The sequence below is a fragment of the Homo sapiens genome, chromosome 12, assembly GCF_000001405.40.
Source record: "Homo sapiens chromosome 12, GRCh38.p14 Primary Assembly".
Classification (NCBI taxonomy): Eukaryota; Metazoa; Chordata; class Mammalia; order Primates; family Hominidae; genus Homo; species Homo sapiens.
The window spans coordinates 61,689,024-61,713,217 of NC_000012.12; the positions used below are offsets into that span (position 1 = coordinate 61,689,024).

The 24,194-nt window shown below is 35.4% G+C and overlaps 1 protein-coding gene and 1 long non-coding RNA gene across 7 annotated transcripts in view, besides 1 other annotated feature; both read right to left on the bottom strand.

Annotated features, from left to right (window-relative positions):
* Positions 1 to 13,744, bottom strand: part of LOC105369793 (uncharacterized) — a 39,321-nt gene extending 25,577 nt beyond the window's left edge. Inside the window, exon 1 of the long non-coding RNA XR_945013.4 lies at positions 10,809 to 13,744. This is a non-coding gene — a long non-coding RNA (uncharacterized LOC105369793). The remainder of the gene's footprint in view (positions 1 to 10,808) is intronic.
* Positions 10,237 to 11,436: an enhancer, noted in NCBI's record as "MED14-independent group 3 enhancer chr12:62093041-62094240 (GRCh37/hg19 assembly coordinates)". NCBI's record gives its function as "activates an origin of replication core promoter dependent on BRD2, BRD4, P300/CBP and CDK7 cofactors, and independent of MED14, by STARR-seq in HCT116 cells {active_cell/tissue: HCT116}" and the evidence as "EXISTENCE:reporter gene assay evidence [ECO:0000049][PMID:35650434]".
* A 5,505-nt stretch (positions 13,745 to 19,249) lies between the features above and the next one.
* Positions 19,250 to 24,194, bottom strand: part of TAFA2 (TAFA chemokine like family member 2) — a 551,762-nt gene continuing 546,817 nt past the window's right edge. For all 6 annotated transcript variants that reach the window (XM_024448962.2, XM_047428774.1, XM_047428773.1 and 3 more), the window contains one exon: positions 19,250 to 21,394. In XM_024448962.2, coding sequence (XP_024304730.1) covers positions 21,383 to 21,394 — 12 coding nt within the window. In that variant the 3' untranslated portion in view covers positions 19,250 to 21,382. The remainder of the gene's footprint in view (positions 21,395 to 24,194) is intronic.

Genomic DNA, 24,194 nt, shown 5'->3' on the forward strand with positions numbered 1-24,194 from the left:
GGAAATAAGAAAGGACACAAACAAAACAGTCCATGCTCATGGAGAGGAAGAATCAATACCATGAAAATGACTATACTGCCCAAAGTAATTTATAGATTCAATGCTATTTCCAGTGAAGTACCATTGACATTCTTCACAGAATTAGAAGAAACTCTTTTTAAATTCATATGAAACCAAAAGAAAAAAGCCTGTATAGCCAAGACAATCTTAAGCAAAAATAACAAAGCTGGAGGCATCATGCTACCTGACTTTAACTACTAGGCTACAGTAACCAAAACAGCATGGTATTTTTACAAAAACAGACACATAGACCAATGGAAAAGAATAGAGATCTCAGAAATGATACAGCACACCTACAATCATCTGATCTTCGACAAACCTGACCAAAAAAACGGGGGAAAGGATTCCCTATTTAATAAGTGGTGCTGGGAGAACTGGCTTGTCATATGCAGAAAAGTGAAATTGGACCCTTTCCTTACACCTTTCCTTACACCATACACAAAAATTAACTCAAGATGAATTAAAGACTTTAATGTAAAATCCAAAACTATAAAAACCCTAGAAAAAAATCTAGGCAACATCATTCAGGTATATAGGACATAGGCACAGGCAAAGATTTTATGATGAAATCCCAAAAGCAATTGCAACAGAAATGAAAATTGACAAATGGGATCTAATTAAACTAAAGAGCTTCTACACAGCAAAAGAAGCTATCATCAGAAAGAACAGACAACCTACAGAATGGGAGAAAACTTTTGCAATCTATCCATCTGACAAAGGTCTAATATTCAGAATCTACAAGGAACTTGAGCAAATTTATAAGAAAATAAACATTAAAAAGTGGGCAAAGGACATGAACAGACACTTCTCAAAAGAAGACATTCATGCAGCCAACAAACATATGAAAAAAAGCTCAACATCACTGATCATTAGAGAAATGCAAATCAAAATTACAATGAGATACCATTTCACCCCATGCGGAATGGCGATTATTAAGAAGTCAAGAAATAACAAATGTTAGCAAGCTTGCAGAGAAATAGGAACATGTTTACACTGTTGGGAATGTAAATTAGGCAACTACTTTTCATTTTAGCCATATTAATTGTTTTGTAGTAATATCTCATTGTTTTTTGTTTTGCATTTCCCTAGTGGCTAATGATTTTGAACATGCTTTCATGCACTTATTTGCCATATTTATATTCTACTCAGTGAAATATTTATTCATGCGTCTTCTGTCCATTTTCTACTTGAATTGCTTGGTTTTTAACTGTTGGTTTTTGAGAATTCTTTATATATGCTAGACATTAGTTCTTTATTGGATATGTGGTTTAAAAATATTTTCTCCAAGTTTGTAGCCTGTCTTTTCAACCTTTTCATATAGTCTTTCACAAAGCAAAGGTTTTTAACTTTGATGAGGTCCAAGTTAGCATTTTTTCCTTTTATGAATCATGTTTTAGTCTCAAGTCGAAAAAGTATGTGCCTGCAATTATATCCCAAATATTTTCTTCCATAGTTTTCTAAAAGCTTTACAGTTTTACATCTTACATTTAAGTCCATAATCTGTTTTGAGTTAGCTTTTGTATAAGTGGAAAGTTTAGGTTAAGATTTTCTGTTTGTCTGTTTTGCCTATGAATATCCAAATGCCCCAAGACCATTTGTTGAAAGGTTGATTTATATTTTGAAAAATCCATTCTGACTATTGTCTGGAGAATGGAGGGTAGGAATAGGAATAGGCTGATTAGTTAAGAAACTTTTTCATTTGTATAGGTAGGAGATTATGGTGAATAGGACTGAGGTGACAGGAAAGGAAATAGGGAAAACTAAATGCAGAGTATTTGGAGCTATAGAGTTAATAATACTTGCTGATGAATTTGATGTGCAGGTAAGAAAAGAAGAACAGAATCAAAGATGATTCTAAGTTTTTAACATGAAAACCTGAGCATATGTTGATTATATTTACAAAATTAGTGGAAACTGAAAGAAGGCTTGGAGGTTGAGACAGAATCAAAAGTTCTATTTTGTCCATATTGTGTTAGACATCTGAGTGGAGATGTCAAGTAGGTTGTTGGAGTAATGTAATTGGCATTCAAGGGCAAGATCAGGGCTGAAGATACACATTTGGGGAGTCATCAGCATGGATGACATTACTTAGAGAGAAAGTCTAAAAAGGGAAGAGAAAATCTGTAATTATTATTTTGGATCAAGCAATATTTACATATGTATAGATTTCCTAAAAGTGAACAAGTTAACTACAAATCTAATTTTAATTATTTATACTTGATATGAATCTGTGATTAGAACATGTTAATATATTTTACTGCATACGCTTACTGTATAAAATATTATTAAGGATCTAACTGAAATGATAACAGAACTCAGGTTAGAATCTTGTGTGTGCCATATGCCTCACTGCACCTATAATAAAAGAATCCAGGGAAATAAAAGGCCTCAGCTTGTCATCAATAATAGTTTGTCTTTCAAGGATAGCCTCCATGAAATAAGCAAAATATATTGAAATAAATTACCACTGGCCAAACATTATAAGTTTCTTTTACCTCAATAACTGTTATTCTAAGTGAAAGCAACCCTCAAAATTCTAGTAAACTCTCACATTTTCTCCATTCCAAAGAAATCCTGAGTGGATTAGTTCTGGATATAGCAAAAGATTCAATTCTGTTTTGGAGTGGATCAAAGCTTATTTCTGGGAATCCTTAGTCAAAGATATCAGTGGATTCCTATAGGCTAAAAGAAAGTTGGTTCAAGAATGACTAAGCAATTGAAACTGAAGAAGAGTTTACCTAAAAATATTGATGTGACTACACAGAGAGCTCTATAATGAGCGCCAATTACTGTAAAAAAATGTACAAAAGACCATAGCATTTTAAATGTAGATTTGTATAGTTTTGTATAAATATTAACTGAAAGTCATAAACTGAGACATGGAAAGTTTTAGTAAAACTAATCTCTTTACTTTCTTTTAAAAGCAAACCAAAATCCCCATGTTTGGGCTAGGTGCTGTAATATTATGCTGTTAGGTGGTTGAAGGCAAACTGCAAAACATAACAGAAAGTACTGTACAAGTACTTTGGAGTTTGAGAAGCCTTAGATTTGACATTCAGCTTTTTTTGTATACATTTTGTAGCCCTGAGATAGTTACTTATATACCCGAATCAATTTTCCCTGTAAATTCACAATGATTATGCATATTCCCACATGAATTTAGAAAGTATAAAATGAAATTAAATAAATTAAGTTTCTGATATTATAGTAGGTGCATCTTACTGTACAATACCCTTTTAAAATTTCTTTTTCACTTCTATCTGCTCTCTCAAAAAGTATTACTCCTTTACAAAAGAAGTGTAAGTCACAGAAAAAATTAGGTATCAGATGCATATGTATGAGAAAGGAGATTATTTAATGAATTTATATCTCCATTTCACATAAATTATCTCTGAGAATTAATGAAAGAACTCATAGATGACAGCACCAAATGATAATTAGCACTTGAATGATAATCATTGAGGAATCATGGTTAATGTAGATCACGGATAACAAAGATAGTTCCCATTTCAAAGATTGAAAGAATAATTTATACAAAGAGTTGGTGTATCTATGTCTGGGTTACACAATAATTCTGAGAAACATAGAATTTCTTTGACCACAGTGTTAACACAGCTACAGTGAAGCATGACTAAGCCACTTACTTTAAACAAAAGACATGTAAACCTCCATATGATAGTCTGTTCAAATTATATGAAGATTTTACCTACTAATAATAGTAGGTGGGAACATTTATTTAGGAATAATGAGTTCGATGTGAAAGAACCTGGGCTTGTGAAAACATCATGTGTGTTATCATCGCTGTGCAAATATGCGAAGATGACTTCCAGTCAGCATTAAGGAGCACATGGTAATCCACTTATAGTGTTGGATATTGCTCATTTCTTCTTTTATTTTTTTTCTAGTCCATAGGAGTCATGATCCGGATAAATAAACAGCATTGATCTACATACAAATTTCCTCCTGAGAATCTGGCCTTTAACCTTGGCCTTATTTGTACAGCATTCAAATCAAATGACCTAGGAAATTACAGGCATCATTGCATATTGCTCACAGGGTTTACAGCATTTTCCTATACAGAGCTGTAGGAAACTCCATGACTGATATCAAGTTACTACCCATGAGCAAGACTCTAGCCAAATGTTAGGGATTTGAATCTTCCTTCACCATTTACTAGCTGTAGGACCTGTGCAAATTGCTTAACTGCTGATTGCTTCAATTTCCCCATCAGTAAAATGCAGATAGTAAGAGTACCTACTTCATGAAGTTCTATGAGGATTAAATGAGTTAAAATTTGTAGACAACTTAAAATCATACATGACATCTCCAAATAAATGCTTGTGAAGTAAATATTTAATTAAAATAAGACTGCTAAGTGACTTACAGCTGGTCTTTTGAAGAAAGCCAGTTTCATTTATAATTGGGAATGAAAGATCAAATATAATCTGATTCAATGCTTAGAATAGCATAAAAGTGTCATAAACCTATAATATTTACTCATACCTATGAATGTTTAAAAGAAAATGTGTCCATAATTATTATAATATTAAAAACTTGTAAGAGCCACAGTATAGTGTAACCTTGTTTCAATTAACAATGTAATGTCAAAGCTTAATAGCTCTCACTGATAGAAAATATGACGCAGATTTCACAAAGAGCATCAAGAGCTGTGTGTCTTCTCTGGCACATTGTAATAATGGTAATAATGTTAGAACACATTTGTCTAGCATTTTAACTTTGCAGAAAACCAACCAATCTTTCACTTAATCTTTATAATAGTCCGTGGTGGTAGATAGTGATGAAGCAGGAGACAGCCAAATGCTTAGGCAAACAGGGAAGGGTCCCCAGAGAACTTCCAACACACCCAGGTCATTATGCACAGGGGACTTGCCTAAACATGCCTGTGGTACAAAATTCCATCCCTTAACATATGTGCAGTAAGGGAAATAAATCAATGTGAAGTGGCTCAGACTAAGGACCCACATACACACTGGAAGAATGGGGTGGGAATTCACTCCTTATTCAGGGGAGGAGCCTGGCCTCTTCACCTTGCCTGGTATTCAATTTGTGAGGTGGAAACCTGCATGCAGGACCCCTTTCTTTTTTGTTAGCTTTCCTTTCACTTAATAAATCCTGCCTTCCTCACCTTTCAATGTGTCCATGTACCTAGTTTTTCTTGGTTGTGAGACAATGGCCACAGGCATGCTTGCATGACAGATGGGTGGCTGGCAGCTCCCCACCCCACCCTCCCTCCCAGCTGGGGAGCATGGCCATGTCTACCACATGTGTGTGTGGCACCCAATGGCCACACAGGGCAGGACTGAGCCACAGCCACTGTCTGGGACCCAGGATGGCCCTGGGCTGGGCTCCATGCAGCCAGCTGGCCCATGTTCCCCCACCATGCATTCATGGAGTCTTCCCATCCCCTATCCCCTGGCTGAGGGGTTCAATTCGGTTGGATAGCAATTAAAAGTTTCTCCACCTGTTGGAGAAACTCATTTGTGTAGGAATAAGAGGATATTCCCCCAGGCATCTTCTCCACCAGCACTTAAGCTGTTTTTATTTCTCCACCCTGTCAGGAGTTAACTTTTATGCTAGAGAATTTCTCTTGAAAGATGTCTTATTAGACCAGGACCCCAATTCACAGGACACCATTTTTCTCTTCCTTGTTTGAGAAGGACCCAATCCCACAGCTTCACCTCAGCATTTGGCTTATTGATAAGGAGGCAACAGCCAGTCTGGTGAGGGACATCTGGGACTTGAGTCCATGCACACCCCGGGGAAGTTCTTTTTTCACAAACTCAATTCCAAGCTTTGGGTCAAAGCCCTAGGAAAGAAAACTGGATCTGAGGGATCCAGAGGCAGAAGACAATGAAGGTTAAAAGGCACAGTGCAGGTGAGCATGACTAATTCTTGCCAATTAAGCCAAGCCTCCTGTTTCATGGATAGACGTCATGTTAGTAACCATGGCTCAAATGAAGTGCAGGGAACTCAAAGGCTACTGACAGCAGGGACAAAGTCAGCGCATGAGTCAAAATGGATAATCCCACCCACTAGGCTCCCTGTTAGCATGGGTGAAAGCTGCATTGGCACCCATGGGTGGCACCCTGTCAAGGTCACTGGGACTTGGGGATATAAGGACAGAAGAAGAAAAGAGGGTTTTTTCCTTCTTTCCCTCATGAACCCTGGTATTTTCTAGGAAGAGAAAGGAACTAGGGACACCTTGCTCCCCTCTTTCTAGATGAGTGGCCATTCATCTTCGGTCTTTATCCCTTTTGAATGCACCCTGAACACCTGGGGCTCCTTTGAAAAGAAACACCTTCTTTTTTCCTTTTTCCTCCTCTGTCCTCTCTTTACAGATGGTAATTGTGTCCCCGTACTACAGGACACTCCCCTTGGATGCATCCTTCACACTGAGAAAAGTTAACTTCCCAAACCTTAAACTGGTTGGCTTAAAATTGAGCTCTGGGGAAGGAAACCCAGAAGACTGACATGCTGGCAAAAGGATGAAAGTTTCTTTTTTTTTTTTTTTTTTTTAACCAGTTAGAATTTTGACCACTCTTCTTGTGCAAACTAGTAAAAGGAATGATAAGGATCATTGTTTATATTCTCTGTTAAGTTTTGATTAATGAAAAAGGATTTATGAGGTTGGCCTTAAGCTGTAGCCAATCTGGTGTGCATCACATGTCTTAATTGAGGCTTGTTGGTGTCACTTGAGGTTACTTTTGATAAAGTTCAAAAGCCAAAAATATTGGCAACTTGGCATGGCTAAAGTCAGATAATAAGGGATTTAAAAGGATTTTCTTAAAGAATGCTCAATTTAATTAAAAGTGGATATCCAGATTATGGGTATAACTTAAAGACCTTTATGTTTTATGTTTCTCTTCTTGGGTTTTGTTTTGCTGGAAAAAGTTTTTTTTTTTTTTTCCTCAGTCGACTGAATTACTTTTCTCCACCTTGTCTTGCCACTCCTAATGCACCCATGAGAGGCCCTAAGGTAATTTCTGATGGCCTGAGACTCCTTGGGAAAACCAAAAAAGGTACCACATATTCCATTTTGGGAGAAATGTCTATTTTCTTTATTGAACTCCGGGAGTTAGAGGTGAATAGGTCCCTCTCAAAATCTGCTTTTATCTTCCAGCTATACCTGTTTATTAGGCGCTAGAAACTACGTGTTTTCCTAGCCCTGCTCTTAAAGGGCCCCACCCAGAGGCCAATAAACCAATTAAAAAACTGGCAAATGAAAAATATTATAACTACTGGATCTTCTTCTGTTTGTGTAGTTATATATGTGTTGTGTGTGATGTCTATAAAAAAAGAGCTCTAATTAATTGGCTTAAAGAAAAACACTTTTTTGAAGGAAAAGTAAAAGCTGTAATGCCTTTCAGTTCATGTGACTTTAATGTTTGAGAAATAAAAAGCCTTAAAGATTATTGGCAAAACACAGATGTCATTAAAATGTAAATAGGTGGTCTAAATTATGCAAGTCAGGTACTAGGTTTGCTAGATGTTTTAAGATTGTAAACTGCTTCTTTGGTCTTTGAGAACTGTTCGACTTGCCTACCTTACAACTTGGTAAGGCTTGGGGACATATGGAATTAACCACACCATTAACGATGGTTGTAGGAGTCAAACCTTATTAATACATAGTGCATAATTAAAACAACTTACTAGATTTTACATTAAAATTAAAAATTGTTAAGAGGTACCTTATAACGTGTAATTGAGACCACTGAAAATAGATTTACATGCAAGGTGTGTAAGAAAATTAAAATGTGTTTTTTAGTAAAAGATTATACAAAGGCATAGAAATGTAAATTTTTGCCTAGGGTCAAAAGTTTGTGTTGAATTATGTAAGATAAAAGTAAAAGTTTAAACAAGTTGTGGAAGGTTTCTAAAAAATTAATCTTGTAAAAAGAAATTCTGTATGGACATTGGCTAAAGTTAAAAGGATATTATTTTTCTGTGAACTGAACATTGGAATAAAAGCACAGCAGGTTTTTCTTAGAGCACTGATTTGCTCTTTCACAAAAATTTATAAAGGGTTAGAAAATGTTTATAAGAATCTTATCTCATGGTCAAATTGGTTAAGATTAGATAGAATTTTCTATAAGGTTTCATAAAAAAGTTGGGGTTGACATTAATAATAAACTAATACGTTTATTATTGAAATTTGGCTTTCTCTCCCTTGTACAAGATTTGCATGTAATAGTAAAGGATAATGAAAATTTTTCATTCGCCTTGCAGATAGACTGCCAAGGAAAACAAAAAAGAAGACAGGAGACAAATTGTTTGAAAAGCTGTCTTCTCTCTTAATGAGTAAAGGTTTTTGGCCTCGTTTTAAAATTTCTGAGTCATCATTTTGGCAAAATAAATAACATGGTAATCTGGAATTATATTTCATAATATCTAGAGTTTTAAACCTCTAACATATTTAACAGGCTTCCCAAAATCAAACCTCAGTTTCAAGGTTGTGTTTCCTGACCCCTAGTTTTGAATGATATAGAGGGCCCCTAGAGCATCCAGAAGAGAAACAAACAGGATTAGCTGAGATGTTTAGGTATGTGGGATTGCCAAAATGATTTTTAATCTTCAGATTATATTTTAGTGAATAATATTATGTATGTTTCAAAGTTATATGGAATTTCTAAAACTCTCATGTCTGAGTATATGCTATCAATCATAATTAAGGTTGTTAAGTTGTTGTAAACCACAGGAAAAAAACAAATTCCTTTGTCAATTGTGTTTCTAACTGTAACTACTCTGGACATTTTGTTATTTGTGGATAATTCTTATCTTGTTTTAATTCTCTTCAAAAGATAGTTTATAATCATCTATAGAACTTTGACAGGTGCTCTCAAATGCAGGTTTCTGATAACTTTGGAGATTGTGGCTTTGGAATAAAGAAAAAACGTACAGGACTCATGAAGAGCTGAAATGTTCGTGAATATCAAGCAGAATAACAGTTAATGAAATGGATGGAATTAATAGAAAGCTGAAGTAATCTTTTTTTAACTTTTGCTTAAAACATTGCTGATTCTTGTTTTGTTTTTCAGAGTGAAGGAAATTTTTATGTTGAGCTATTTACAGTCTTTAATAATTGAGTAAGGTATACTCTGTGAACAAAATTTGGAGCATGTTTGTCTCTCTGCCTGATTCCTCTAGAATTTGTAGACTATCTTTGAGTATTCTTCACTTATAGCAATATGATTGTTTGTATTAGTGCAATAAGAGTCAATTTTCTTTTGCAACAGGATGCAATTGGAGAAACTGGTTGTTTTACCAAGGCCTTGACTGGAAGGGTATGCTTCATTTTAAGGAATCAAGTTTGACTTGCAGAGCTGATAAAAGCCCCTTGGGAAAACTGGCCTCATACCCTGTCTACACAGTCCCTGTACAGAGTTCCTAACCTGTGGTGGGTAAAGAATGCCACTTTCTAACAGGACCAGGAAGCCCATGTTCTTGGGACTTCAAGAAGAGAGGAATTCACCCAACTCATAGTATTTGAGGGTACAAACCCATGGTTGGGCTCAGCTTTAAAAAGTCCTATATGAGATTCCTTGTGGAATAGAGTTTTATCAAAGTGAATTTTAAAAGCCTATATAAAAATAATTATTCTTGATGCACTTTATGCAAATAATAAGGCCAAGTATAAGACTAAAGTTTATTTTGCAAACAACTCAGTCCTACTATGATTTGTTTTTAACAAAAATGAGGACTGGAGAAAGAGAAATTATGTGTCAAAACTTGTCATACATTTGTCATTAAATTCTAGACCCATTAGTTGTTGTTTTTTTTTGCCTACATTTTATACTAACCCTGCTTATTCCTGTGAACCAACTAGCTATCTCTGTCTGCAGCTCGAAAGAAAAAAAAGGGATGGGTAATATAAAAATTGGATCAATATTCTAGTTCTGGGCAATTATCCTACAAATCCTGCCAGGTGATAGGAATAAATAGGGTGCCCATAACCCAGAGGTTTCTTTGTTTGGGAAAATAGGACCAAGGGAACTAGCCAAAGCCAAGCTCCATGCACCCAAATCTTAGTAGGTATAACTATAGCTACCAGTTATCTGGCCGTGTAGGCATCCTCTAGATTTCTTAGCTGTCCTTACCCCCATCCTTATTTAGTTTTGATCCCTGTCTTCTAATAACTTATTTTGTCTCTTCTTGCCTACAGGCCATTGAACTCCAAATGCAACCAGAGCTTCAAATGATGGCCCATTTTTACCAGCGATCCTTAGATAGGCCTCTGAGGGACATCTGACTGCCATTTTCTCAAAACAGTGCCCCTTGTCAGCAGCAAGTGGTCAAGATCAGTCTTCCTCCTTTTCCTTATCTTTATTCTAATGGTAATTAAATGTACTTCTTTAGAGGAGGGAATGATAGAGGCAGGAGATAGCCAAATGCCTAAACAAATAGGGAAGGGTCCCCGGAGAACCTCCAACCCACTGATGTCATTGTGCACAGGGGGCTTGCCTAAACATGCCCACAGTGAAAAATTCCATCCCTTAACACATGTGCAGTAAGGGAAATCAGTCAATGTGCAGTGGCTCAGACTAATGGCCCGCATGCCCACTGGAAGAATGAGGTGGAGCCACCATCGTTCCTTAGGCAGGGGAGGAGGCTGGCCTCTTCAGCTTGCATGTAGTGGCCTGGTATTCAATTTGTGAGGTGAAAACTTACATGCAGGACCCCTCTCTTTGTTGGGAGCTTTCCTTTTGCTTAATAAAATTTGTCCTCCTTACCTTTTAGTGTGTCCATGTGCGTAATTTTTCCTCGTTGTGAGACAAGAACCCAGATTTAGCTGAGCTGAGGAGCAAAAAATCCTGCATCAATAGAACAGATATTATTATTTATATTTCACAGATCAGAAAACTAAGGCCCAGAGAATTTAAGTAATTTCTGTACCTAGGGTCACAATGTATCAGTTCAGGGCTCACATTCCCTAAAGTGCCTTCAGATAGTGCCTAAATCACAAATCAAAACTTCTGTCATTCTCATTCTTTGCATTCCTTTGAAAGAAAGCAGGAAGAAAATACCTCTTTCAAATTGAGGAAGCTCAGCGGTCTTCTGTTTACAGTCATCCAAGATGGGCAACATAAAACTCTAGTTGTAGTCATGCACATAATGGTCTCTGTAAACAGTGCTTCCTGGATTTTTGTACAGGGCACATCCTGCACATCCACATGAGGAATATATGAAGCAACTACTTTTACTCATGCAAAAGCCTAAGTCAGAAGCAGAAAGCTGCAGCAGCAACAGAATCGACATCCTGATTTCCATTTCATTGTGTGGTTTCACAGTAAAGAAAGGAAAAAAAGATGAAATCAAACAAAAGCAACTTTTAGAGAAAATCTGTCACTCAAGTTAAATTTTCTCTTACTTGAAATTCACCCTGTGTATATTCAATTGAATAGAATGACATTTGATTGAACTGACTGGGAAAGAAACTGACAAGATACATCCGGATTCAGGCTCTCAAATTTGGTTTATTGTTTAGTGCAGCAACCCCTGAAATTAAATGAACACATACAGGAGTCTCATCATAATGCTATCTGTGGAATCCTGTTATAGGGAGACAGTGCTATTACAAAGTCCTCCCACAGTTAAACTCCCAAGATGGACTTGATATTCTGCAAAATAGCACAATGGATTTAAGTGAGACTGGAGCTTATTTTTTTCCCATTTTTTCACTTAAATTAGAAATCTTGTAATTGGATTTTAAAAAGCTCCTTGTGAAGTAATTATGTGTAATCTATTTTCAAGTATTCTTTCTGAGTAAACCTGTAAGAGACAGAAAGTCAAGTATTCTTGCTGAATAAACCTGTAAGAGACAGTAAGAGATATCTCATACCTTTCCTTTCTTAACTGCTACACAGTTCTCTTTGAAACTGTTTCCAATAATGAGTCATTTAAAAGAGAAAATGGGCCTTTTTAGCTTTTGAAAACTTAATGGGAAACACGAGACAAGAAAAGGAGGCCTAATGTTTAGCCAGAGGTAAAATGTAGAGGGTTATATGAGTTTTACATAGTATCATTAGAAATGCTATCAGAAATAATTAAGCCAACAAAATCTTAAGCATCTATTAGTGTTCAGACATAACGACAACATACATATGTAGCTGTCATGACAAAACAGCAAATAATTCAAAAATTAATTTTGTAAGAGTTATCACAGAAGCAATTCACACACACACACAAGCCCTGAATATAAAAGGTGACCACTACTGGGGCGTTTATAGTAAAATACTTGAAATGACTGACAGTGAAATAGCACTGAAATAGATTGTTTGTGTACTCCAGAAAACAACATTTTAAAATGTAATTTGAGTGTGTTTCCTAATGCTTTCAAAGTAGAAAAGAAAATGTTTTCCATAAGAGTTCACCAGCATACACTGACAACAGTGATTAGATAATATCCTTCTGCTATTTAACAACACAGAAATTATGAGGAGTCATTTAATCCCTCAGATTGCTTAGCTGTGACACTTTTGATGTACAGTACTAGAGATTTAACTATCAGCCAGAAAACAAAAAGATTAACACGACATTTGCCCATCAAATCACAATCACAATCGTGTTCCATTTGCCAGACTATTCTCTAACAGCTGATATTCAGCATCTCTACGTAAGGATAAGTTACTCAATCAACAAAAATCAAACTCAGATACTACCAAGTGTGTCTATGTAGTATATATTAAATCCTGCAATGATTCCTTTAATAAGCAATGTCTTGGTTGCTTGCTGCATCCCAGGCACTATTACACAACAAGATAACTGAGAGGAAGAGATTAGGCTTGCAGAAGTTAGAAAGACAGCAAACATATAAGCAATTACAAAGGAAAGCAACAGGAGTGTGGCAGCTAAGTCTGTCTATGGGGGTCAGGAGAGACTTGGCAGAGGCAGGCACTGTGAAGGAAAGCTATGGGGTATTTTTCTGTGTCTCAAATCATTTCACAAAAAAAAGAGGATTTGAAAATGGGTTCCAGATAATCACCTCATTGGCAACTTTAAATCCATGTAAAATATTTTCAATTCAAACTATAAAATGTCAGTCTCATATATATATGTATACACACACATATATATATACACATATATATATACACACACACATATATATACACATATATGTATATATATTAAGATTAAATATTTAATATCACTTACTCTTTGTTGAACCCTGATTTAAGTCCCTTTGGGGAGTTTGGCTTTGGGAAAACTTTCCTTCAAAACAATCGCACCAACAGTAATCTTGTAATAACATCTCAATGTTCACACACTTAATATTATGGTGGAAATATTAATTAGTCAAGAGATTTTGATAATTTAAATTTAAGTATATGAATAGGGAAAGGCCAGGGGAAGAAGGAGTAAAGTCCAACCTCAGAGACAAATGAGAGGTTTGTAGGAGAACGGTGCATTTAAAGAACTGTACAAAGGAACTTGGGTGTGATGGGTTAGTAGCACAGGCACAGTGTATATGAAGAAGTGGACAGAGGCCAGCTAATGGAATGCCATTTACGTTTGATACAGAGTATAGGTTTCCTATGAGGTTTACAATGAGGAGCTATGAAAGAATTTTAAATTGTTGTATGTAAAAATCACATGGGCCTGAGAACATTTTTCAGATAAAAAAGCAAATTTTGTATTTAAAGGGAATGAAACTAGCATAAAATCACTACTGGTAAGTGATTGGAAAAAAAAAAAAAAAAAGACCCAATTCTTCGTCTTTTTCAATATCTAACCTTGCAATGTGACCTTGCAGCAACTTCCATCAAGAAGCGGAGTCTCTCCACTTCAGGGATATGAGCTGGCCCTGCTTTAAAAGAAAGAATGTGGCCAAAGTAATGGTGTGCCAGTTCTGAACCCGGGCCTCCCGATACTCATTTTCTCAGAACCCTGCTTTTGCTATGAGAACAAGCCATACTAGCTTGCTGGAGGATCAGACACCACTTGGTTCTCAAGCCAAGTTGTTCCAGTAAGACCATCCTAGACCAGTTTTCAGCCAGATACTCTCAATACATTTGAGAAAATCTAGACAACCTCAGCAGAACTGCCTGCAAAACCACAGATACCAATAGATATGGGAGTGAGTCCAGCCAAGACCAGCAGACCCTCCCAGCTGACCCGCAGACTTGGGAGCAATCATAGATGCTTATTGTTTTATGCCATCATGTTTTGGGGTGGCATGTTGCATAGCAGTAGATAACTGCTATAACACCCTAACAAATCTTCCCTGATGCATTATGGGTAAACACAAAGACAGAAAATTGTACTTCCAGTTGAAAATCAAACATAAACCCTTAGAATACAAACCGATTGAAGTCTGTCTTCTGAAAAATACTCAGGCATTACTGAAGTTCATAATTATCAATATGATCTACCCTTATCAAAACAGTAAGCTTCTTTTTGGAGCATGTTCCTCCCTATTCTTCAAAATCTCCCCATTTTACTTTCAGCCAATTCTCTCTCCAGTGCTGCCATGCAGCTCCAGTGCTTCATGGAATTTTTCTGGATTCTTAAGCTAAGTTGCTAAAAACTCAGTTTATTACCCCTCCCAGAAGGGTTATCATTTGAAAAGAAGGTAAAACTTACTACTTATATTTTATTCACAGCACCTAAAACAGTTTTGGTGCAGAGTAGAAACACAAAAATATTTGTTAATGAATTAATGGATCTCTCTCCCTTATTACCCTTCCCTGTTAAAACTGCTCTCCATTTTCAAAGCTATTTCTAATCTCTACCCCTCCCTAGATTCATAAACATTAATCTATTTTACTTGCCCTCCGAGTCAGGCTATACCCTTTCAATGTCATGTATACTAACTCCCTACTATTTACCACTATGGATGTTAAAGTCTTGGCTCTGCTACTGACTATATGACACTAGGGAAATTACCTATCCTTTCTATGCCCCAATTTTCTTATTACAAAATGGTAATAACAATATTGCCTGTCTCAAGTAACAGTAAATTAAATAATATATGTAAAATATATAGAAAGAACTTGTGTCAGAGTTAAGTACTCAAAAGAGGCTAGCCATTTTTTAAATCTTGCCTATCTTCATACAAAGATGATGCCAGCTATTCATTTTCACCCCTGCTCTGTCCAGATTGCAACACTGATGGACAGTGACACATCTCTACCCATTAAATGCTCTATATTGTGCCTTTACTATCTTTTGGGCTCTCAATGTCTAGAATCACCAAAGTTTGTTTCTGATATTTTCTGCTCTCATTAGGAAGAGCAGAAAACCCAAGTCCATCCCTTGTAAACCGAATAGATAAATCCTGTCTTCTGAAGACCTGTGTATGTCATTCTCTCAGCCCAGAGGCCTTTAAACATTACTTCCCTTGGCCCCACTTTTGAATTTCTCTCTAGCTTCTCTCATCCTTGTTCATTTATCTCATTGAACAGAAGTATATATTCCTTTCTCACACTAACACTTCCATTTAATATTCCCATCCTCACCTATTCTTCCTCCAGGATGTTGATCTATTCCTTTTTTAAATCAATTTCTCTTTCTCCACTGACTGTTTGCCCTTGGCCAATAAATTCTTCTGGCCTCTCCTGCCAGAAAAAATATTTTCACTTAGTCTGCCACTAAGGTTACTCATTTGCTTTCCTTTCAGCCACACAATTCTAAAAAAAAGGTGATTTAAATATAACAGCTGCACACATTTCTCTCTTATTTAGTACATGTACCAGCTGGCCCAGACGCTTTTATGTCATATATGATATGAATCTATTATTTTCCATCAACATGATTCTTATGCAATTGAAGAGCAAACAGAACTGTCATATCTTCTGCAATGAAAGAACCACCATTTAACAAATAGTTACCATTAGATTCTGTGCTAAGCTCCTTGAATGTATTAACTCATTGAATCTTCACAACAATCCTATAAGGTAGACAGTGAAAGCATTTCCATTTTACAAATAAATAAGGATGCTGAACTTAATTTTTTCTCATTTATCTGTTTATGATCTTGGAGCTAAAACTTAACTAAATCTCAGTAGCTCAGGCACAAACTGTTAATCACCCATGTGCTAATCATTACTCTGATGATTGCTCTTTGACTCATGAGCTATCATACTACCAACACTGCTCTGTTGAAGGTCACCAAAGGCCTAACTCCAAGTGCTTCTTCCCTGTTATAACCCCGTAAGATTTACTATGGAACTTCTTCCTTACTCTGCATACATTATGTGTTGCTTTCCGTCTAAATATGGATACTCCTTCCTTCATGGATTACTGTGTTTTACTCCTACACTTTTTACCTCTCTCTTTCCCTGCCTCATATTGCAGCATAGATACAAAATACTGTTATTTCTCTTGTATTAAGAAAATTACATTCCTTTTTCATTCTGCTTCATTGGCATAGCCACTACCTTACTTTTCTTTTTCACTTCCCATTGAAAAAGAAGTCTATATATGCTAGTTCCACTTTCAAATTTTTTATTCACTCCCCAACCCACTGAAATCTCAATTCTACAAGCATTCCATTGAAACTGCTCTTTCCAAGGCCAACAATAATCTCTAATTACAAATCCAATAAAACCTGTTCAGTCCTTATCTAACATGATCTGTCTAAATGTTTCATTGGCACTTTAAACTCAATAGACTTAAAAAATGAACTCATTGTTTTTGCCACCTGCCCCTCACCCTGCTTTACCTCCAAGTTTTTCTCTCATGTTTAGCTGAATTTCTGTTTTTCCATTTTAGTAGGCTCAGGACCTCCTGTAGTTTTCTTCCTCGTCTTCCTTTCATTCACCAATCATTTCACCCATCATTTCACCCATCTCATTTCAACCTTTGCAAAAACCTTCATTAGAGGCTCTTAATTCTGGATGCATGCTAGAATCACCTGGGGAACTGTTTTAGAAATGCCTATGCACAGACCCTAATCCCGGACCGATTTAGAGAATCTCAGAAAGTTAGTTGGGGATGGACGTTTTCTAAGGCTTCTCAAGTAATTGAAATTGCAACCAGGCTTGAGAGTCATAGTTTCACATTTTTGTCAGTCATATAGTCCAAACTCAGACTCTCAACAACTCTCTCCTAGATTACTTTAATACTTTCTAATTTCTTTGCATGCCCACAACCTCTCTTCTTTAAGACTTTCAAATACATTTTTGCTAAAATCTGTAAAACACAGCTTTACGGAACATGCACTGCCCTGCCATGTTCACATAACTTCTAGAATAAAATTCAATTGCTTTGCATAACAAGCCCATCCAGGAAAATGCTTAAGGTAAAGTGCATACCATTTAGTAACTTGCAATATATTGGAGAAAAACAAATATAAAAAATCAAAATAAATACGAAATGTTCATAAATCTATGTACCCACTTTCCCATTGGTTAGCATAGTGCCATAAAAACAGGGGCATGGAGAAAATATCTTCTGAAATAATTTGAAAGACCATTTTTAAGACTAAGCTTCAGCTAACCCCAAAATTCAATCTAGTCAAACATGCTTGTGTCTAGTAGGAATTCAATTATTGTCAGTTAATTGCCAAATAATTGTAATGTCTATACTACTTTTCCCAATCTCACACAGTGCAAGTTAAAGCAATGAGAAAGAAATCTCCAAGAAATCTAAATATATTTATTTCAATGTTTTCTTCCCAAAGCATTATATATACAAAACAAGGACAGGAAGGAAGGAAGGAAGGAAGGAAGGAAGGAAGGAAGGAAGGAAGGAAGGAAGGGAGGGAAGAAGGGAGGGAGGGAGGAAGGGGGGAGAGTGGGGTAGGGGAGGGAGCAAAGGGAGGGGATGGGAGGGGAGGGGGGAGGGAGGGAGGGGTGGAGGGAGGGGAATTAAGGTAGGAAGGAAAAAAGAAAGACCCTTACTTTGATAGAAATAATAACATTCTACCATGAGTTCTCTATGTGGGTAGCAGGGACAGAAGATACTCAGTATATGTCTCTCCAAACTTTTCACTTTCTCCAAGCAGAGTGTCCAGTGTCATCCTAATTCTCCCCATTAAATTAGTGGGTCAAAGTGAGAAAGGGCTGGATAAGGAACAAATACAATTTGATTTCTTTGTTTCTTTGCATCGCCCTTTCATATGGATACATTATCTATGAATTGAGAAAATGATCAAAACTTGGAAAAGATCAAGTCTCATTTAATCACTCAATTAATTACTATGCTATTAGTGATTATTATCGAAAGTCACAGTCGAATTGTATAGCATTGGTTGTAAATGGTGCAAGTATTGTTATGGGAAATAAAGAATAAAATCAAAATTTCTTTTTATTTTAATCAGATGCAGATTCTCAGATCTCTTCCTACCCGTTAAAAACAACAGCATATTTGAAATCACATATAGTACACTCTGATGTTAAAACTGGAAGTTTCTATTGTGTTAAGGCAACAAGAGTGTATAAAAAATAAAGTAAAATAAAACTATAGGATATTATTCCAAAAATAGAGGACTTTAAAAGAATTATCACAAATCAGTCACTCATTGGCCCATAGTCTCACACTGTAATCTCATCCATGTTCCAGCATATTACAATGGATGGACACCAATTGTAAAAGGATTACACACACACACACACACACACACACACAGAGTTCATGTGAAAACTAGTGAGATCTGAATTAGGTCTCTATTGAGTTAATAGCATTATACCAATGTCGATTTCCTGGTTTTGACAATGTTATATGGTTTTGTAAAATGTTATCACTGGGTAACATGGGTAAAGTTTTCAAAGAAACCCTCTGTGCTATTTTTTGTAGCTTCCTGTGAGTCTTAATCTTTAAAAATAAAAAGTTTTAAAAAAACTTTAAAAGTTAAATTATAGTCATATTTGTGATTTTAATATTTTCATACATATTTTGAAAGATAAAGAGATCATTATCTTTAACAATTTTCATAAAATGAATTTTACATATTGCTAGCAAATTATGCCAGTGGTACTCATAGTCAAGATGGGCAAGTAGCGTAAGTGTTAAGTATATCTATTTCAATTGTATCCTAGCAAAGAAGCATTCATATATTGGAACCTTGTGTAAATGGCAAGATTTGCCATGGATCTTTATTTTAAAAAAAAAGATTGAAGAATTTATGTCATCTTCCCCAGGAATTCAGAGGTTTCCCTGGATAATAACTGAAATGCTTTTAAAATAAAACACAGAAAACAGATCTATATATGTAATTTATGAAAGAGAGTCCATTTTATATCCCAATTTTATTCACCTTTTCTGAATAGTCACAACATTAATCTACTGGGGATAATCTAGTTAGTATATTTGAAATTCCATGTTTTTTTTCTATTATATGCATGTATTACACTTGTATATAATACAGAGTTTCCAGTGTTGATTTAAAGAACATAGTTTAAAAAATGAGAAGCATGATGTATAATTTCAAATCTCAAACAAACCTAGGACAAATTCATAATTTCCAAAAAGTATAGTTTTTCACTTGGTTACAAAGAAATTAATGATATTCTAATTGATGCAGAAACCCCAGGGCAACTTTTTTTTTATAATTTCATATAGTCTTGAGCCATTGTGAAAATCCACTCAAAGCCATCTAATTCATTTTATGCATGATTAAAATGGAGGCAGAAAGCCATTTCATTCCATGAACTTATGAGACAGTGGATTTTAGTTCAATGTGAGATACATACTTTTCAGATTTTATTTTTAACCAATTTTACATTTTTAGTTGCTCTTCCCAGGAAAGTGTCTGAGTAGTGTTTTGGCCTTTGAATATTGTCACAAACTAATAGACCAAAGCTCCCCAGGATATATGGGCCTCTATCCTGGAAACCAACGTATGTCTAACTGACCACGTCAGTGAGTTTTTAGAATACAAAGTATTTCCATACCTTCTTCCATACCACCTTCCATGATGGAAATTCTAACAGGACAATTTTTGAAGCATCTTCTGAACAGCCTAAAATGAGTAAAACACAGAAATCCTTCTCCTTGCATTCCTTCAAACTATAGGTTTACACAATATTGTTACAGAATGGCTATGCACTTTTCTTTCTTCTCTCCCTTCATATCACAAATGAAACAAAATAAATGTAGTACAAAATTATACATTCTATAACTTAGAAAAAAAAAGTACATACATGTTTAAGGCCTTTAAATATTTATGACTTTCCTGTAGAACCAAAACCATAAACGTTAAAATCGCTACAAAAATGTCACAAAATATTGGCCTAACAAATTGTTTGAATAGGAAAACTGTAAGCAAATATTTATAAATTTGAGACTGAGGAAAATGAACAATTTTTTCTATCAACAGATTGAACAAATATATAAGCATTCAAACAGTCATTGGGATCAAGCAAAAGAAAGTCTTTTAAAATGAGATAGGACAGTTTTTTAAAAAATACTGGAAGAAATCTAAGTGAATAATGTTCAAGCTAAGAAATCAGAAACTCACATGCATCCCTGTCAATTTTTTTGAAACTGAAGGCTACCCATTAACTTGACTGCTCACTGCTGATTTCTGTGAAGGGAATAAGTAAACATAAAAAATTAAAGAAAAGCTCACTTAAAAAAAAACAGAAAGGGAGAGTGCTCTAGAGGTACAAAGTATTATATAATGAAAATGGCAATCCAGTTCTAACTACTACCTATTTGACAAAGAGCTTCAGCAGGGTGTTGTTAGCCTTAGGGAAATATGTCAGCTTGTCTATACATTCTTATATGATTGATTTATTCAGATAACTATTACTTGCCAACATTATTACCAATGGATATATATTTCCATTCCTTTAACAAAAGCAACTTTAAGATGTTAAAACATGTAGGCTTTCTGAGCTCCAAGATTAGGATATAAATAAAATTGTCTCAGTCTACACCATGCCAGAGGAAAAGTTCTCAAAGGAAATGTCATTAAAGCCATGTGTAGTCCCACTAGCAAATGAACATAGGACCCAGGAACACATCCAGGACAGAAGGACAGTGCACTTGGGATACAGCTTGCAGAAACAAGAAAAGTAGTCACATCTGGAGCCAATAACTCAAAAGGTGACTGTCTCTAACATCACCCTGAAAAAAACAACTCTTCACCAGCTCCTCAGACAGTGACTTCAAATTCTTTTAACAATTTACAAGTTGAACACAGTTCAAATCTGCTGAAATCTTCATGACATGCAAGTTCATGTCTGACTTTTAAAAAGTCTTGATTTCAAGAAGAGGCCATGAAATCCCTTGGAAATAGACTATTGAGCGCCTCTTTCAAGTGGTATAAAAATCTTCAAGATCACCTCAGGAGTTGAGTTAAGTTTCTATGCGCATGTTCAATGTCATCAGCCTTGAGGATCACTTGATTTCTCCTGGGTTAATGGGTTACCTACAAAGGAAGGAGAAAATATAGTCAACATTTCATAACATACCGATAATCTTAAAACTAAACACAATTAAAAATTAATAGATAACTCAAAATGCTGGTGTTTGCTATATCAAATGCATTACTTAATTTTAAAGGACTAACAGATGCAGGTATTTCCATCATATAAAAATATACTTTTTTTCTCATTATCATCTCACAATATTTTTAAAGCCATTTGCACAATTATCCAAGTGAATATAACTGTGACTAGAATTATCCCAACTGGTGACAACAATATCCCTCTCACACCCAGAGAGTGATTCTGGAATCCTTGTTTTTTTGCACAGGCTTGGTAGCCATAACCCAAATATCACAAACACATCATACTAGGCCTCAGTGAAGAAAGACCTTTGTCCCCAGCAACACAGTCACATCATATTCTCAAAAAGCCCTTGGGGATTGGTTCCATAAAGTTCATTTTTGAAATAGTTTAAAAATTGAGGGTTTATTTGAGTCAATTATATTTGAAAAATTATATTTGAAAAATTATATTTGAAAAAAATCTGTTTATGGGGGACAAAAATATCTGAGGAAAGAAACAATAAGGAATAGAAAAATGTTGTACCAAATGTTAAAGGTGCCCCAAAATTTTCATAAAATTGATTGGAATATACTATTAATGCTATTTTAAGTATCACTAAAAACATTCATACTAACTTCACACCTACTAAAGTCCAAAGACCATTTGTGTACAGGAAAAAAGAATAATAAACAGATAGAATACCTGATACATATATACATACATATCTACGTATGCATAGATACAGAGGAAAACACACAGGGAGAGGGAGAAGAAGAGAGAGGGAGAAGGAGGGGAGAGGAAAAGAGATTTTGAGAGAGAGAGAGGATAGAGGGAGAAAGAGGGGAGAGGAGAAGAGATTACCAACACAGCAGAAATATCTCGATTTCTGCTGTGTTAATAAATTTCTAATTCTATTCTAATATCAGGCAGGGTATTTAGAGAGTTACCTAACAGTTCTTTTCTAGGAATGGCTAAAACAAAAAGTGATTTTAAAAAATTATTGTCAAAATTTTGATTTTATTCTATTAAGTGACATTGTTACTTGTCCTTTGAAAAACATTACAAAAGTCTGTTTGGTTTCATTGTTTTCTGATCAATTATGTAAAAAATGAATATATTAAACAAAATAATAAGCTAGTTCTAGACTTTGCTATGGCTAGTCTCAAATTATACTACCAAAGGGAGATGGTACAAAAGGCAAAAAAGTGTTTTCATGCATGGAGACAGTCATCTCATTTCTGTCTCAGTGGTCTGCTAGCACTCCCAAGGAAGGAGTTCTTTGCCTGCATATTTGAAGTGTTTTACTCCCATGCACAGAACCATGGAAGAAGTTGTGCCAAGGATGGAGGGTTGGAAACACATGAAGAGCCTACTGAATCTTTGAGATTCTGGGAGCAGGAGATATCTTAGGCATAGCATTGATCTCATTATCAATTATCAACTATCAATCTGCCTGCCATTCAGGAGTCATCATATACAATTTCTGTGAAGGGCTCCCAAATTGAGTATGAATGTGGACCATATTTTCAAAACTAATGCTGAAAAGACAAGAAAAGAGAGGGGAAGCTATATGTGTGTGTGTAAAAGATGGAGAGAGGAAATTGAGAGAGAAAGAGAGAGAGAGGAAATTGAGAGAGAATAAATGGTTTAGCCTCTGCTGTTGCTCAGTGTAGCCAAATGGAGAAACATGGCGGAAATGAACTGCATAAATGTGGTGCCATGACTCTATGATAGCAAGTGACACGTCCTCTTGATCCACTTCAAGCTCAGGTTCTAAGTAATCTATTAGTGAGTATAATAGATGCATTCCTATATCTTCATTTCAAGCTAAATATTTGACTCTACTAGTTTATATAAAGTTGAGAAATGATCCTCTCAGCTATTTACATATTAAAACTTTGCTCTCATATAATTTTGAAAATAGACATCTAAATTAAAAGTATAATACAAAAGGCTTATAAAACTAAAACAATTTTTTTCTCCATTTCTGTAGAGAAAAAACATAGATATATACACACACATAAACATACAAACACATATAAATAAGGATATAACCCATATCCTCAAAAACATCATAAACATCCATTTTCATGATGATATCTTTCTATCAGCTAACATAATTGCTAGAGAAACAAAACTTAAACATGACTAAAAGAAGTAATTGTCTAAACACACATGGATTACAGCATAATTAAAGCAACCTATTCTCACACCTAAGTTTTACACAATATTCCTGGATTACTAATTTTAAAAATATCCTAGCATATGAGATGAAGAATATGGTATAAATCATTTCTAATATTAGATGAAAGTATACAATCTAATACTTGATTTTTTTTTTTTGATTATTTGATTTTGACCAAGAGGACACATGGTGATTCGGCATCAAGAGCTCTGTATTTAGGCCAGAATGGCAGTATTGCCATGAAGATCAAGTATTATAATGTTATTTAACACCTAGCTTTGTCAACCCTGACCAACTATAAAAATAAAAGGTCTGGATTTTAGGAGGGATTTTTTTGCTTTTGAATGTATAAATCTTTAACAAGAGAGCCACTAAAAGTAGAATGAAAGAATCACACTATTAAATTTAGCCTAAAGCTTCCTCCTTACATATTTTAAGTTCAGCCTAAAGGTTTCTCTGTACATCATAAACTGTAACCTAAATGGAGGTGTAAACACAATGTAGCCCACTCTTACACCAATCACCGAGTTTTGGCCAATCAAAGGTGGCCAACT